At 40.7% G+C, this 17579-nt stretch overlaps 1 protein-coding gene across 17 annotated transcripts in view, besides 2 other annotated features; it reads left to right on the top strand.

Moving 5' to 3' along the window:
* Positions 1–17579, top strand: part of PDE1C (phosphodiesterase 1C) — an 811448-nt gene that overhangs the window by 645283 nt on the left and 148586 nt on the right. For all 17 annotated transcript variants that reach the window (XR_001744802.1, XR_001744803.1, XR_007060044.1 and 14 more), the window contains one exon: positions 7210–7278. Coding sequence is in view for 12 of the 17 variants with exons in the window: in XM_047420443.1 (XP_047276399.1) it covers positions 7210–7278 (69 nt within the window). In the remaining 5 variants the exon portion in view is untranslated. The remainder of the gene's footprint in view (positions 1–7209; positions 7279–17579) is intronic.
* Positions 271–320: a silencer, noted in NCBI's record as "silent region_18077". NCBI's record gives its function as "represses an Ori minimal core promoter by ATAC-STARR-seq in GM12878 lymphoblastoid cells {active_cell/tissue: GM12878}" and the evidence as "EXISTENCE:reporter gene assay evidence [ECO:0000049][PMID:35858748]".
* Positions 14338–15272: an enhancer, noted in NCBI's record as "OCT4-NANOG hESC enhancer chr7:31807284-31808218 (GRCh37/hg19 assembly coordinates)". NCBI's record gives its function as "activates a minimal SCP1, AML or CMV promoter by ChIP-STARR-seq in naive H9 embryonic stem cells {active_cell/tissue: H9 hESC(naive)}" and the evidence as "EXISTENCE:reporter gene assay evidence [ECO:0000049][PMID:30033119]".

Below are 17579 nucleotides of genomic sequence, written 5' to 3'. Positions count from 1 at the left end.
ATAGCTTAGGCTATCCTGCCTTAAGCATGCTCAGAACACATTATCCCAGAGTTGGGCAAAATCGCCTAACACAAAGCCTATTTTATAATAAAGTGTTGAATAGCTCATGTAATTTATTGAATACTGTTCTGAAAGTGAAAAACAGAAAGGTTATATACGGTTTCTTCTGAGTGTGTATTGCTTGTGCATCATCATGAAGTCCAAAAATTTAAGTTGGGCCATCATGAGTCAGGGACTCTGTGTAGTCATTCATTACTCCCCTTTGTGGGGATAAAAGTGGTTTACATCCTTTATGGCATCCAGCCTGATGCCTTCAAACCGGCCTCAGAGAGAGAACCCTCTAGTGGTGATACTGAATATTACACAAATACCACCCCTTCATCAGGGCCTCCTGGTGTATCGTTTCGCATGGTATTATTGCTCTGATGAAGGCGACTGTGATGTTTCTCCAAAGCAGCCATGCTTGCCATTCACTGAAACATATTTTTAATTTTTTTCTTAAAGTAAAAATAGAATTTACTCAATTTGGAAAGTATCGACAGTATAATAGGAAACTTAAAATCACTTGTAATACCCCATCCAACAATTAATCATTGTAGATACTTTATTTTCTTATGATCTTTCGCTATGCATTTTTACACAGTTAAGGCCATATAGTATAGTTAATTTTGAATTATGGTTTGTTCACACAACATTGGATTGTAAGCATTTTCTTGTGAGTGTTTTTTTAACTTCTCCATTAATATAATTTCAATAGCAGCATAATATTTTATTCTGTGGCTCTAGCGCAATTTACTTAACCACCTCTCTGCTGTTGGGCAATTAACTTATACGCTTTTATTTTATTTTTTGCAGTTGTAAATAGCAGCAATGGAGCTCTTTGTACATAACGCTTTGTCACATTTCTGAATATCTCCACTGGACAAATTTCCAGATATACAATTACTGGGTCACAGGTTGTTAACACTTTTTTTAACTCCTCATTCATATGTCCAATTCAAGTTCAAAGCACATTCAAATATTTTGAAAGCCACATTTAAATAGCTTGTGGTGTTGTATCTCTGAATAGCTCTTGCTTTTAATCATTCTTCTTTGTGATGAACAGACATATTCAAATCACACGAAACTAAACCTAGTATTGATGGTGGTTGTATTGTGCAGGAAAAAAGCATTAAATACTCTGAATATGCAGCTCTAATTTATATACTCTTGGTTGATAACTCTTAGGGCAGTGTGTGGGGGGTGGGGGGTGGGGCGTTGAAGACCTCCAGACTCTTTCAGTGTTCCCACAGCCTGAAGCAGAACTTGGACTTTTACTGATGCTCTCTCTTCAAAGCTGTAAAGGGGCAAAAACGATGATTTGTTCTGAGGCTTCAGGCAATGGCTTGTTGCCCTGTGCCCCAGCCCAAATGGAACACAAAGAAGATGTTGGCAGATATGCTCAGCAATAATGATCAGAGGTCTGTGGGTATCAGAAAGGCAGTCATTTACAATATGCTAAAACAGAGAAATTGAAAATGGCCAATAAGTTGACAGAAACTTTCATACCTCAGCTTTTCAGCATCCTCCTCTGCCCTGTGGGATCTGGTTGTACTATAATAACATTGCTATTGCCAGACCATTAATAATGATGATGTTTGGTCTCAAGAGCTCTTAAATCACCCTTTCTCCAGCAGGCATAGGCTTGGCCAGGCTAACCCCATTTTGCAGAAGGGAAATTATTTGTTTGAGGTTAAGCTGCAAATCACTGTGCTTTAGCACTAACTTTGTGAAGTCCCGAGTCTTAGGTGTGCGTTCACCCTGAGGCGGGTAGCCTTAGTTGTCACTTCTATCACTGTCCTCTTCTCCACACTCTTGATGAATTGGATTCATTGCCCTCTAGTTGAACCAAACAAGGACATTAATTTGAAATATCTGAAAGCTATTCATTTGTCAAAGGATACCTCAAGTCACATAAGCTGCAGTGGTGACATCTCTGCCCCTAGCTGACGGATTGGGTTGTTTACTCCTTAAATGGCCACATGCTGTGAGTCAAGGGAAATGTAATTCCTGACCTTAAAGTGTTTATTTCCCAAAGATGACAGATTACCTACTTAGACACACACACACACACACACACACACACACACACACACACAAATGCACACGTGCACACACACGCATGCGCACATGCACATACACACACCTTTCTAAAACAAATAATAAAAACTGTGTTGTATGACACAGTTTGCTAAGCACTGTCATGTGTGTACTCTTACTTGATGCTCGCAATTATTGTCCTGACATTGATGTTTTCTCAATTTCATAGATGAGGAAAATGAAATTTAGCAATAGCAGCATTGACATAGTTGTTTGTTCATTTGCTTTTATTTTACCTCATTTATCAGATATTTGAGAATTCTAAAATCATGCAAATTTAATACATTGCTTTTTTAATGATTAAGTAAATGGAATAAAACCAGAGTCACAAAGTAGAGCTAGCATAGATGGAACAAACCAGGGCAAATGTTAATAAGCAGACGTGCAGTCTAAATCGGCCTCCCCTGATTCCTAGCATTATGCCATAAACTGGGTCTAAGCTTTCTGGAATCTTAAGTTTAAATGGAAATAAACCATTTACAAGATTCACATCCGTGAGGATGAGCACACCAGTTGTTTCAGAAGAAAGTAAGGCTTCCCTCCCGACAACTGAAAGAAACATCTCTGGGTATTCAGTGAAGGCAGTGTTTCTCATGGCTGCAGATCAGGCTCACCTGGGAACATTAAAAAGTCCTCATGCCCAGGTCCCACCCAGACCAACTAAACAGCATCTTGGGGTGAAGGGTCAGGTGTCAGCATATTGTTTAAGAACTCCCCTGATGATTCTAATATGTAGCCAGGATTGAAAACCACTGACAGAGTAGATTTCTACAATGAATCCAAGAACCAGTTCCATGTGGTGGGTGGTCTGAAGCCTTCTGTGTGCATCATACAGTACAGTTTAGAAGCTGGGTCAGGACTGGCTGTTCCCACCTGGTTTCTGATGTTCTTCCTGGACATGAGAGGGAGCAACGGAAGGGTGAAGTGCGAAGGGCTTTAGAAAATGAAACTCAGATGTGTTGGGTATTACTCCCATGAGTGGAACTTTGAGTAAAGTGATAGGTAATTTGGTAGCTTCCTCATGGAAAGAGATTTCAAGAACACATCCTCAGTGAACTGGAAGCCAGTGGGAGGCTGACTCAGAACCTAACCCCCCGCCAATGGCCCGTGGCAAAATCAAAACCAGTTTTATTTTATGTATCCCCGCCTGCTACCTGTATATGGCTCATGGTTATGAGAGGTGGGATGGCTTCATCCCTGTCCTGATATATTGGGCATCTCACCAAGCTAACAGAGAAAATAACAGCATTTCCAGAAGGCCTTGTAGTTCTGCTTTTTCACTGACTCAAGGTTCCCAGAGTTCCCTTACTCAGTGTTTGCAAAGAAGACACCAAGGGGATGAAAAGCTACCTCTACGAAAAGCTATCAAGCTGCAGGCTTTTGGAAGATTATAGTCAGTTATTTTTTAAAAAATTCCACCAAGCATTTCTATGAAATAACCTGGCAATAGCGTTTCTACAGGTAGCAACATTGGAAGTTTGTGGTCATTGAGCACTTTGCAGTTTTTCAGGTACTCATGTAGGCAACATTAAATTTGTTCTCTCAACTTCACAAGAGTATCCACAGAAAGCAGAATGCCACACTTTTCGTTAGTTCGACAAAAGGAAATTTCTACCACACAAGGTGTTCCAAGCCTGTTTGATGATGGGAATCACCTGGGCCACCTGTGAAATACCCAGGTCCCTAAACCTCGCCTCTGGAAGTGCTGGCTCCGAGAGCTTAGTGAGGCCTGGGAAACTGGCTTTGTTTTTCATTTTTGTTAAAATAATTGTCCCAGGTTTTTCTTCCTCTTAGACAACTTTGGGAGACTGTGCTTGAAGGAAACCCAGACAATGGGTTGGTTAAGAAGCAGCAAGAGTCAGGGGAAAAATTTCTTTGAGTTTGAACTTTGAATGATCTTGACTTAAGTTTTTCCCTCCTCCCACAACACTCAGTAACATTAGTCAAGTTCCTTAAACAAAATGTTTGGAGACAAAAATTGTCTTCAAATCCTGTAAAATGGGATAATTTTGTTGTCAGAATGTTAAAATCAGAAACAACAACAAATCTATATTTCACGGTGCCTACGTAATATGGCACCAGGGCCACAGTAACTGCTTAATATGTGGGAGTGACTATTAGCAATGACCAAGCAGCCAAATTGGGAACCACATCTCTAAATAAAAACTTGAAGCCCTGTCTGCAACCTAAAATAGAGATTCTCAATGGAGGGCACTTTTGCCTCTAGAGGATATTTGTCACCATCTGGAGGATGTTTATGATCGTCATGACTAGGGAGGAGCTACTGACATCTCATGGGTAGAGGCCAGGGACACTGCTAAACATTCTCCAGTGCACAGGACAGCCCCCACCACAAAGAATTGTACAGCCCAAATGTCACAGTGTCACTGCTGAGAAACCCTATCCCAAAGGTCAAATGAGACAAGTAAAAAATCTTGTGGGACACAGAGGCATTTCGGGCAGAGAAGGAACGGCTCTGGATCACAACATAAAAGACACAGATGTGCCCTCTGGTAGTGCCTCCTAATGGGGCCTATTTGTTGCACACCCAGGGTCCACCATTCTTTGTGTAAGATACAATGCGACGGGCATCCACTGGGGTTGTGCATTGTGGCAGCACTGGCTTTGACACAGAGTATCACTTTGCGTAAATCTTTCACCCCGGAGTGTCCAAGACACTTCATTAGACCAGTGAAGTGCCAGATTACAAGATCATCGTTGGAATCACCTGGTGAAATTGTTAAAATTCAAATTGCTGGCTCCATTCCCTGGAGATTCTGCTTCAGGGTCCAATCAAGGAGCTTGGAAGTCATATTTATAAACATCACCTCAGGAGTAACTGAGTTACTCAACTGAGGTTCAAGAACTGAAGCACAGCTACAGCCAGGGTTGGACCCTCTATGTTCTCCACCAACTCTGACCTTCAGGGCATCTGTGAGACCTGGAAAATGGAGAAATAAAGTCCCGCCAGATACAGTTCCCTTCACTTCATACAAATTAACAGTTTTTGTAGGTCTGAGCTATTTGGATTAATTTTATGTTTTCTATTTTTACTACTACTGCTGCCAGAAAAGAAGGAAAGAATAATAATGATTAACAATAACATTTGTTATTGTCTGGAGGGCATTTGTCACACAATGTCAGGATTGGTGCCCTGTTGTTTAAGATGAAAATGGGGCTGGGTGCGGTGGCTCATGTCTGTAATCCCAGCACTTTGAGAGCCCGAAGTGTGTGGATCACGAGGTTAGGAGTTTGAGACCAGCCTGGCCAACACAGTGAAACCCCGTCTCTACTAAAACTACAAAAATTAGCCAGGCATGGTGGTGGATGCCTGTAGTCTCAGCTACTCAGGAGGCTGAGGCAGGGGAATTGCTTGAACCCGGGAGACGGAGCTTGCAGTGAGTCGAGATCGCATCACTGCACTCCAGCCTGGGCAACAGAGCGAGACTCCATCTCAAAAATAAATAAATAAAATAAAATGGAACGATATCAAACGTCATCCAAAGTGCATGTCTCCACTCTTCCCCAGGGATTCTGGGGTAGGGAAAGCTTACCGCTCTCCCACTCACCTCCAACCCCAAGTCTCTGCTTCCTCTGACACTGCCCAGTCTTCAGATTCTTTTTCTTTTTTTAATACTAATTGTTTCTTTCTTTTTTTTTTATTATACTTTAAGTTTTAGGGTACATGTGCAGAACGTGCAGGTTTGTTACATATGTATACATGTGCCATGTTGGTGTGCTACACCCATTAACTGGTCATTTAACATTAGGTATATCTCCTAATGCTATCCCTCCCCCCTCCCCCCACCCCACAAACTGATTCTTTTGTTATCTTTATCAGTGACTATATTGACACATAGGGTCTTCTCAATCAGCACAGCTTCCACTTACACCAGGCCTCTGCATATAAAGTGGACTTAACTAAAAGTTTGGGAAGTTTGTGGGGACTCCTAACGGAAGTAACCTAACACTGACTCATGGATATCCTCTGCTGAGGAATTCTCTCTGCATTTCTGCCAGCTCAGACTGCAGGCATCTGCCGTGTTGCTAGAATCTGGCTTCCAGGCCTCTTCCTTCCCACTCTGGATGACAAAATAAATGAATGAATGAATAAATAAATATTTATGTTTATATATAAGATATGTGTCCATATATGTGTCTGTGTGTATATATTTATACGTAAATATATGCGTATGTATATACGTACACACCCACATACATATATACAAAAAATGTAAAATTTTTTGGCAGGACCTCTCAGTTCTCCCTTTGTCCCTTTATTCTGCTCTCTCCTTATTGATCCCATCCTGGGGTTTGACTTTTCATTGCCTCGTGACCCATTAAAGGGTTTATTAGAACAAAGATAATCCCCTTCCTCATAGGAATTCTGTTGCCAGTTGCTGGGAAACTAAGAAACCCCACTAAACTAGCATTTGTGAAGTCTCCCATTGTTCCTGAGCACTGGACACACTTTGCTTCCTTTAATCCTCACTGGAACACTTCGACGCAATTGTTGTCATTCTCGTCATTTTGCAGATGAAGACCTGAGCTTCAGAGAGATCCAGTTCATTGCTTGAGTTCCAATAGCAAGTAAAGCCTATAAGGACAAAGCAGAGACAAAACCCCCGATTCCCTCATTCTAAATCAGAACTTCCCCTTCTTCAGATAGTCCTCCATCCTGTTCCATCCTGGATGCACATTAGAATGAGGGGTTTTAAAAACATGAGTGCTGGGCCTCCACCCCTGTACTGTGGGGGTGACGCCCAGGCAACTTCCTATTTAGAAAACTTCCCCTGTGATCCTAAAATGTAGCATTGCTCAGTGGCACATCGGTCCCAACATATCAACCTTCCAGCCAGAGGAACTGCGTACTGTCACACACACAAAGGCAAAGGCGATGCTCCCAGCTTTTCTGGACCACAGAATATGCACCACCCTGCAACCTCACCTAACCTGCTTCTAAACATTGTTTTCAGACCCCAACTTGATAACATTTCAGATGAACATTTACTTGTCCAACAGGTTTTTCCACAATCCTACTTTTCCTTATCCTCTTTTTCCTCTTCACAGGCACAAAACAGCGTTCTCACGGCTCACCAGCCCCAAGCACCAGCTCCACGTGTCGCCTTACGTTGCCAGGTGGGTAAACAGCATTGCACCATTATCTTAGTGACCACAGACAATGGAAAGGCCTGGTTTCTCGGGAATTGGGTTGATAAACTGAGAACATGGCCCCATAGTTATCCAGTCTACTCACGTTATCAGAGAGCTTTGTCTCTGTCACCCTCATTTGTGAGGCCCCTCTAGGAATGGACATAAATATTTCTATAATTGGTTCACAATCGTCCCCCTCACCTATGGAAAGAATAGAATTTTGGTCCTCTTTGATGTTCATCTGTACATGCTATGGAAGGATCTGCCTTGTAGAGGCAGATCGTGCAAGGGAAGTAGTGTGAGTCTGTGGTGAGATCGAGACTCAGGTTTAAATCCCAGCTTTTCTGTGTTCAAATTGTGTGCCCTCACATGTGCTTCTTCAGCTTCTTGGAATGTCTGTTTTCTCATCTGTTTGGGAGAAGATAAGAATTAGAAATAATGCTTGTAAATTTAGCCCAGTATTGACATAGTGCTCATAATAATCTCTACTATCGAGAAATATGGAAGGCATGTATGACCTCTGTTCGACCCAATCTCACATGTACTGGCAAATCATAAGTATTCATGAGGATCAAGTATAATTATTGTTTAATATAAGGGGCACTTATTGATCATTCTGTCTCCATGCATGTGCTTACATTCTCAACTACAATTTAATTTTTATTTAATTTTAACGAGCAGAATTTGGAAAAGCACATCTGTTTGGGGCAAGGAAAGATTATAAAAGATAAATACCGTCATTGAAGAAAATTTAAAAAATGATAAACATAAGAAGGAAAAATGTTGCCAATAATGCTACCACTCAGGGTTAACCAAGATTACCTCTCCTTCCTGTCTTTATTAAATACTTTTTCTCTAGATTTGAATTAGATTAATACTTTATGTAGAGTTTTGTTTCCTTCCTTTTAAAACTTACCACTACATTATGAGACTTTCTTCATGTTATTAAATACTTCAACAAATATTTCAGTAATTGACTAACATTTCTATGACTATGCCACAGTTTATTTATATGTCTATTGATAATTTAGCATTTATATAACATGCATTTTTATAAGTGACCTTACATTCTTGTACATAAGTCTTCTGAGTCTGTAAGTACGGATTTACCATAGATTCCACTAAGTAAGATTGCTGGCTCAAAGAATGCAGACATATATAGGTTCCTGACACATTATTACCTAAGTGATTTTCAGAAAGATGGTATTAATGTATGGTTTTAGTGTGAGTTTGTCCATTTCATGATCCCCTTGCTAATGCTAAACATTATTTTCAATATTTTACTGATTTGCTAAGAGAAAAATGATATCTACATTTGGTTTGAATGTATCTTTCTATTAAAAAAACAGTTTTTTTAGTGTTAATTCACCTTTACATTTCTTCTTTGGGGAATTACCATATTTCATCCATTCTGAGAGGCACATTGCCTTGCATTTTAACCCATTTTGAATTGGGATGTTTTGCAGTCAATGGTGTGTGAAAATTCAATTAGCAGCATTTTTTTTTCTTGGTTGTACATGAAATAATAGTTCATTTTACAATTAGTGGCATTTTAGATGAAATATGACTTATGTCTGCCTGCTTTTGTAACTTCAATTTCTGTAGCTCCCTCACCCAAGTCAAACAAGTGGACTCCACATCCGCCGAATAACCCTTGAACTTTTCTTGCCTCTGTGAGTGCCTGGGATGCTCCTTATTCTCTTCTTCCCTTGGCTAATTTCTCTTTGTAGTCCTGTCAAAATCATCTAGGTGGAATTGACAGTGCACTACAATGGTTTGCTTCTAAGTCCTGTTGTACATTGATAGGTGGCTTTTTCCATGATGAGGACTGTCTTATTCCTTTCTGCCCCCAGTGCTGCCAAGGTGACAGGCACTTACTGGGTATGCATTAATGTTTCTAAGCTGGGTACGTGGTGCGTGAGTGAGCAGCCTCCCATTTAGTTTACGACTACACAGAAGGGAACCATCCTCAGAAAAAAAGGCTCATCTTAAAGTTTGGATTTGTTTCAACTCTACAGACTTGCTTTTGAGTAGTGAGTAGATCTTGTTCTATAGTTTCTGGAAGCCCCTCGCATCTCGTCTCTGCTTGAGGTTATTATGCTCTTGGGACTACAGAGTATCAGGAAGAAATCAGCTTTAAACCAAGCAATTCCAGTGTGAAGTGATGGTGTTTGCTCCTGACAAGGTCATAGCCTTGCTAGATCAGGTGGGATTTCTGAGGGCATCCTTGTCACCTCCAAGAATATGCAGAGCTGTCCTGGGACCCACTTGCTCTGCTGGGGACCCAGGGATGGCCACTGGGTTCCCAAGGCCTCTGACTCAGAATCACAGCTACCTTGTCTTTAGCCATCCAAAGTGGTCCCAAAAGGAGTGTCTTAGGCTCTGCATTCTGAGCATCTCCAAAGCCTACAGGGCTGTAAACCACAATCCTCTGCCCTACAGGACTTGAGAGATGGTCAGAGGTGGAAGTGGGTAGTTCTCAAAACACCAGACATAATTAATCTGTGTAACTGGTACTACACAGTGTGCAGATTGACACTACAGGACAGAAGCTGCAGGGCAGCTGTGCTTCACATCCTGAGGGGTGCACGGAAGGAGCTGGAATCATGCTTTCACTAGCAGATGTGCTCACCACCTCATTGCAATACCCAGCTCTCTACTTCCCTTCCTGCCTCAGGAGCATCACAGATGCCTCCCTCTGGCTTGTGTGCCATGGGGGCCCCTGCCCATGCATGCTGGCTCCTGCTCACAGCTCCACCTTACCATCTCATAGCTGTAGAAGAGATGACTCTTCTGAATGACCACCAATAGATAGAATCTTTTAAAAACCTTTGATTTTACAGCCAGTGAATGGATTTAATTGGAATTTTAGGGTTTTATATTTCTTCAACACCACCTACATGATTAGATCCAGTGCAGTCAAATCAATCTGCTGTAAGCTGATCCAATTCAGTCATTAGGAGATGAAAACATTTGCTGTGAATTCCGGTCAAGATGGTTGAGTAAGTTCATTTTTTGACAAACACTCCTCTGCTCAAACACACGCCAAGGTAGGTAAAATTATAATAAAAAAATATATCTTTTAAAAAAACTGGTGCCAGAGACAAACAACTCTGGGAACCAGAAAAAAAAAAAAGAGAGAGAGAGAACTGCAGAAGCCCTGGGACAGCTGTGATCCACATCCTGAGTAAGGAGTGGCAGGAAGGAGCTTGAATCCTGTGGAGCAAAAGGGACTAAAAGTGCTGCAGGGGACACTGGGAATCAGAGCTAGGGCTATAACCTGAATACAGGACATGGGGTGGACAGGCTAAAACAACTGCTGCCAGCCTGTTTCCTCCAAGCCACAGCTTAATAATATTAACAGGAAGCTGTTGGCCTAGAGAGATGGAAGGACATTGGGACAGCTTTTCTGCCAGACCGAGCTAGCTTTGGAATTGGATCTGCAATATGCCAATATGATTATAGAGCATTAGTCATAAAGTGCCATTATAAGGCTCTGAAGTGGAAGTTTAAGGGAGGAGGTGGAAGTAACTACAAAACTCTAGGCAGGCGAGAGAGAGAAAGAACCCAAAACCCAAATATCTTCTTTTTTTTTTTTTTTTTGAGACGGAGTCCCGCTCTTTCGCCCAGGCTGGAGTGCAGTGGCGCTATCTCGGCTCACTGCAAGCTCCGCCTCCCAGGTTCACGCCATTCTGCTGCCTCAGCCTCCTGAGTAGCTGGGACTACAGGCACCCACCACCACGCCCAGCTAATTTTTTGTAGAGACGGGGTTTCACCATGTTATCCAGGATGGTCTCGATCTCCTGACCTTGTGATCTGCCTGCTTCGGCCTCCCAAACCAAGTATCTTCTACTTGAAATTAGCCAAAATGTCACAGGCAACAAAAGAAGCAATAGATAAATTGGACTTCATTAAAATTAAAAACTTTTTATACATCAAAAGACACATGAATACAGTGAAAAGGCAGCTCACAATATGAGAAAATATTTTCAAATTATATATTGGGATAAGGGGTTAATATCTAGACATATGAAAGATATAAAGAACTCTGGCAGCTCAACAGCAGCAGCAACAACAACAAAAGTAAAACCCAATTCAAAAATGGCCAAAGGACTGGAATAGACATTTCTCCAGAGAAGATCTACAAATGGGCCAATAAGCACATAGAAAGATGCTAGTCATTAGGGAAATGCAGATCAAAGCCACAGTGAGATGCCACTTCACACCCATTAGGATGGCTACTATAAAAGACAAACAGCAAATAGCAGGTATTGGTGAGGGTGTGGAGAAATGTGAACCCTGGTATATTGCTTCTAGGAACATAAAATAACACAGCTGCTGTGAAAAATGGTCTGGCCAAAGGCAAAGTCAAGAAGCAGGGAAGTGCAGGTTAGAAAGCAAAGGGCACAGGTACAGGAGGAAGAATTGGTGCCAGTAGCAGAGTGTACCACAGAAATTGGCAACTGGAACATGAATTTCTTCTAGAAGAAGTTGATTTTTGGTGCAGGCTGTCAAACACTTTAAAATGTATTTAGGATACTCAGACAGCCAAATGGAGGAAAAATTATCCTAAAAACAATGAAGAAAAATTGTACAAACCCAAGAAAGCAGAGATATGTAAAAGAAGTGGTTCAAAATCTGAAATTTAAAAAAAGGAAGCAAACATATAGTCATTGCAATTTTAAAAAAGAGAAAACTATCAGTTGATAGTATAAGTTCAAGGTAGAACACAGTGGAAAAGTTAATTAATGTTGGAGGATAGTCCTGAAGACTTTACACCAAATATAGCATGGAGAGGGAACCATATCAAAAAAATGAAAGATCATGAACCATAAAAATCTTAGAAGGAAACGGCTGGGCTTGGTGGCTCATGCACTTTTGGAGGCCAAGGCGGGTGGATCATTTGAGGTCAGGAGTTCAAGACCAACTTGACCTACATAGTGAAACCCCATCTCTACTAAAATACAAAAATTAGCCGGGCATGGTGATGGGTGCCTGTAATCCCACTACTTGGGAGGCTGAGGCAGGAGAAACACTTGAACCAAGGAGGTGGAGGTTGCAGTGAGCCAAGATCATGTCACTGCACCCCAGCCTGGGCAACAGAGCGAGACTCCGTCTCAGAAAAGAAAAAAAATAAAATAAAAAAGAAGAAAACATAGAGGTAAATCTTCATGACCTTGGATTTGGCAGTGGTTTCTTAAACATAACAACGTGCAAACAACCAAGAAAAAATTAGGTAATTGGGCTTCATTAAAATAAAAAACTTTTGTGCTTTGGAAACCACTATCAAGAACGTGGAAAGACAATCCACAGAGAGAAAATATTTGAGAATCACATATCTGATGAGGATCTTGTATCCAGAATATGTAAAGAATCCTTACAACTCAACAATAAAAAGACGACCCAATTAAAAAGTGGCAAGGATTTGAACAAACATTTCTCCAAAGAAGATATACAAATGACATATGAAAAAGATATTCAACATTATTAGTCATTAAGGAAATACAAATCAAAACCACAGTGATATACCACTTCACATGCACTAGGATGCTATAATAATAATAAAACAAATGAAATAACAAGTGATGGTGAAGATGTGGTGAAATTAGCACCCTCACATGTTGCTGGTGGGAATGTAAAATGGTGCAGCCACTTTAGAACACAGTTTGGCTGTTTTTCAAAAAGTTAATCATAGAGTGACTTAAATGAAGTACTCATACATTTTACAACATGGATGAACCTAGAGAACGTTTTGCTAAGTAAAAGAAGCCAGACACAAAAGGTCACATATTGTATTATTCCATTTACATAAAATACCCAGAATGGGCTAATCCATAGAGACAGAAAGTACATTAGTGGTTGTCACGGGCTGGGGAGAAAAGAGAGTGGAGAGTGACTTCTCATGGATATGAGGTTGTTTTTAGGGGTGATGAAAATATTCTGGAATTAAACAGTGGTGATGGTTGTGAAACATTATGAATATAGGAAAAAACCCTCAAAATATATACCTCAAAAGGGCAAAATTTATGGTTTGTGAATTATATCTCAATAAAAAATTTAAAAGCATGGAAGATAGACAAATTGCCATAAACTACTTCTCTCAGAAATTTTAGCAGGATATGGAGAAAGTTGTGGGAAAGCAATATTTCAACAAAGAGGTAATAATTTCCCAGAAGTAAAGAAAGACTCAAATTCTTAGATGGAAAGTACATCTCCAGTGCCATAACTAAACAAAAACAAATTCATACCTAAAGACATTGAATGACATTGCCTAAAGCTACATCAAGGGTGAGGAAACCTTAAATGCTATGAGAAGCTGATTATGTGCAGGGAAGTTGCAAGTAATCAACTGACAGCAAAATTTGCATTGGTAACAGTAGAAGCCAGAAGACAATGAAGAAAATATCTTCCATATGCTAAGGGAAAATAGAGCAATATGTAATAGTTAAAATAGCTAAATTATTGCTTATGAGTGAAGGCACATTAAAACATTTTCAGGTATACAATGATAATTTACCACCCACAGACAGACTTTCATTAAAAAAAGTGTTAAGGCCAGGCACGATGGCTCACACCTATAATCTCAGCACTTTGGGAGGCTGAGGTGGGCAGATCACCTGAGGTCAGGAGTTCAAGACCAGCCTAGCCAACGTGACAAAACCCCATCTCTACTAAAAATACAAAAATTAGCCAGGCGTGGTGGCACGTGCCTGTGGTCCCGGCTACTCAGGAAGTTGAGGCAGGAGAATTGCTTGAACCTGGGAGGCGGAGGTTGGAGTGAGCTGAGATTGTACCATTGAACTCCAGCCTGGGCCACAGCCTGGGCCACTCCATTCAAAAAAAAAAGTGTTAAGGGAAGTATGTCAACAAGAAGAAAAGTGAACCCACAAGGAATGTATGAGACACAGGAATTAGGGGTGAGCACATCAGTAATTAAAACATGTTGGTAAATTTGAGTGACTAGTGACCATAAAATAACATCCGACTTTTGTGTTAAAATAGGAAAGAGAAGCTATAGATGGAAGGCGGGATGTTTCAATATGGACCTAAGGAGTGCTAAGATCTATCTTGTCTTTGGTCAGAACTACGTAATTTTTGTAACTTTTTAACACAAAGGATCATCAGTAAAATAATGGAAACATAATAGCATTGTTATTCACTGAATATTTGTGTTCCCACCAAATTCATATGTTAAAATCCAATCCCCAATGTTGCAGCGGTCCGTCCCACAGACCTTGATCCAACAACAGATGAATAACATACACTGACACAGATATTATGCTTGTCAGTCCAGCTGAGAGTCTGGGCCGCTTACAGACCCCAAGGAGAGTGCTGTAAACAGTGGCAACCGCAGCCTGGCCCGACTCACTGGCCTTCTTAGCATTTATTCAGCACACATTAAATGACAAAAGTCTCAAGTAAACACCACTAGAAGGTAATTACCATTGCCAACCCCCCAAGTAGAAAGCAGTCATGCACCTGCTGATGGCAAAGGTTAGTCTTAGGACCACATGATTAAACAAGCTATTTAGATAGACTCCTCTACATTCCAATGTTAATTACCCTTGCTATAGCTCAAAGAGGATTAGGCTGCCTTCAGCCATAACTCTATCCTGAGGCTTTTGCTAAAACCTTCTGGCCTTTCAAGAAGGTTTATTTTACAATTTTTCCCACCATCCTGACTGAACCCCCACACAATGTGATGATGTTTGGAGGTGGAGCCTTTGGGAGGTAATCAGGTCATGAGGATGGAGCCCTCACAAATGGGATTAACGACCTTATGAAAGAGACCCCAGAGAGCTAGCTTGGTCTGTTTTTACCATAAGAGGGCACAACAAGAAGTCAGCAGTCTGCAACCTGGAAGAGGAAGAGGGCCCTCCCTGGAAGCCAACTGTGCTGGAAACCTCATCTTGGACTTCCAGCCTCTAGAACTGCAAGAAATAAATTTCTGTTGTTTGTAACCCACTCAGTCACAGTACTTTGTTATAGCAGCCCAAGCTGACTAAGCCAAGTGTATTAGTCTTTTCTTGCATTGCTATAAAGAACTACCTGAGACTGAGTAATTTATAAAGAAAAGAGGTTTAATTGGCCCACAGTTCTTCAGGCTGTACAGGAAGCATAGTGGCTTCTTCTGGGGAGGCCTCAGGAAACTTAGAGTCATGGCAGAAGGTGAAGGGGGAGCCAGCACTTCATATTGCCAGAGCAGCAGGAAACAGGAGGAGGTGCCGCACACTTTTAAATGACCAGATCTCATGAGGAATCACTCAATATCATGAGAACAGTACCAGGGGGAAATCTACCCCCATGATCAAATCACCTCCCACCAGGCCCTACCTCCAACATTGGAGTTTACAACTGGACATGAGATGTGGGATGAGACACAGATCCAAACCATATCAGCAGGCACCTAAATCAACAAATGAACAACAATAAACGAAGAGAATGTATCAACTTAATAGAAGGCTAAAGGAAGACAGAGAAGCAAAGAATAAAGAATGATAAACACAAAACAAAATTAAACAGTAGAAATAAGTCCAAAAATATCAGGAATAACAATAATTGCAAGTGGCTTCAACTTGCTTTTAAAATATAGAGATTATTTGATTAGATAAGAAAGAAAAAATCCAGGTCTATCTTGTTTTTAAGAGATGGCACCCACAGACAGACTTTCATTAAAAGTTTTTTCATAAAAAAACTTTTGCCATACATTAGGTTTGCTAATGCATAGTAAAAGAAATTCTATGCAAAATATAAAGCTAGTTATTTGAAAACCTTCATCCACTTTAACATTTGTGTAGTATTTTATAATGCAAATATTCCAAAAGACATATAATCATTCTCCTATTAATGGTTGTCTTCCACTTTTTGCTATTACAAACAATGCTGAGCATAATGTCGAGCAAGTAAAGCAAGTTGCAACAAGATATATGCTTTCTAATACAATTTATATTGTTTCAAAACATGCAGAAATATTAGATATTTTGTGGATACAAATGCAATAATTTCATACATAAATGCGCAGCAATGATAAATACCAAATTCTGGAGGATGGCTTTTCCAGAGGGAAGAGAGTGAAGTATCATAGAGAGGATCTGCCGGGTAACTTAATTCTATCTGTGTTAATTTCTTTCAAAAAATGTTTAAGCAAATGTAAAAATTATTAAGATTTTATTAAACTTTATTGAGAGTATGGGTATTTATTATATCATTATTTATACATTTCTGTATGCTTAAATGATTTTATATTAAAGATTTTTTTTTTTTTGAGACACAGTCTTGCTCTGTCGCCCAGGCTGGAGTGCAGTGGCGCCATCTCGGCTCACTGCAAGCTCCGCCTCCCAGGTTCACGCCATTCTCCTGCCTCAGCTTCCCGAGTAGCTGGGACTACAGTCGCCCGCCACCACACCCGGCTAATTTTTTGTATTTTTAGTGGAGACGGGGTTTCACTGTGTTAGCCAGGATGGTCTCGATCTCCTGACCTCGTGATCTGCCTGCCTCAGCCTCCCAAAGTGCTGAGATTACAGGCATGAGCCACCGCGCCGGGCCCAACCACAGATATTTTAACATTTATTGCATATCTACAAATATCAGGACAACATTAGGTCCTTAACATGTATTATGTCATTGAATCCTCACAATAACCCTCTAAGGGAGGTACTATTATTTCTATTTCACAGATTAGGAAACTAAGGCACAAAGAGATGAATAGCTTACCCAAAGTTAGCAGGGGGCAGGCCTGTGCTCTTTTCTCTGAAGGTCATTGCCAATGGTTAAAGACTGATTCTAAATAGTCCTCACTGTAACCACTTTTCTTTCACACTTGTATTCTGCCTGGGAGTGAGATCAAGCTCCATGTACCAATATCAAGCACATTGTTGGGGTGTGGGAGGGATCCTGCACTATCTTTTAAGTGAAGACTCTGGTAAGTGTTCTCTCTGCAACTGTCTTTTACCTGAGTTGATTGAAGGATGGCAGTTGTCACTTACTGTGGACTGGATTGAAGCCTATCCCACTTGATCCAGCTTTGTTATGCAGGAGCTCTATCACCTTGAAGAAATGTATCTTTATAGGCTTCTTCTGAAATTGGCCACTGTTAGTGTGAACAAAGGACATAGGAGCTTCTGAATAGCCTTACATTTCCCATCTTCTCATGCACAAGTGGGAAAATGCACACGTTGTTAAGAAAAATACAGCAAAAGACTTAGCTTGCGTTATCTCCAAAATATGATTCTCCATTGAAACAACTAGAATCATGCCAAGACAAACAAAATGAAAACGAAGAAACA

The sequence above is a fragment of the Homo sapiens genome, chromosome 7 (assembly GCF_000001405.40).
Source record: "Homo sapiens chromosome 7, GRCh38.p14 Primary Assembly".
Taxonomy (NCBI): domain Eukaryota; kingdom Metazoa; phylum Chordata; class Mammalia; order Primates; family Hominidae; genus Homo; species Homo sapiens.
Note: the sequence above shows the minus strand (reverse complement) of the source record. Positions and strands in the feature narration are given on the sequence as shown.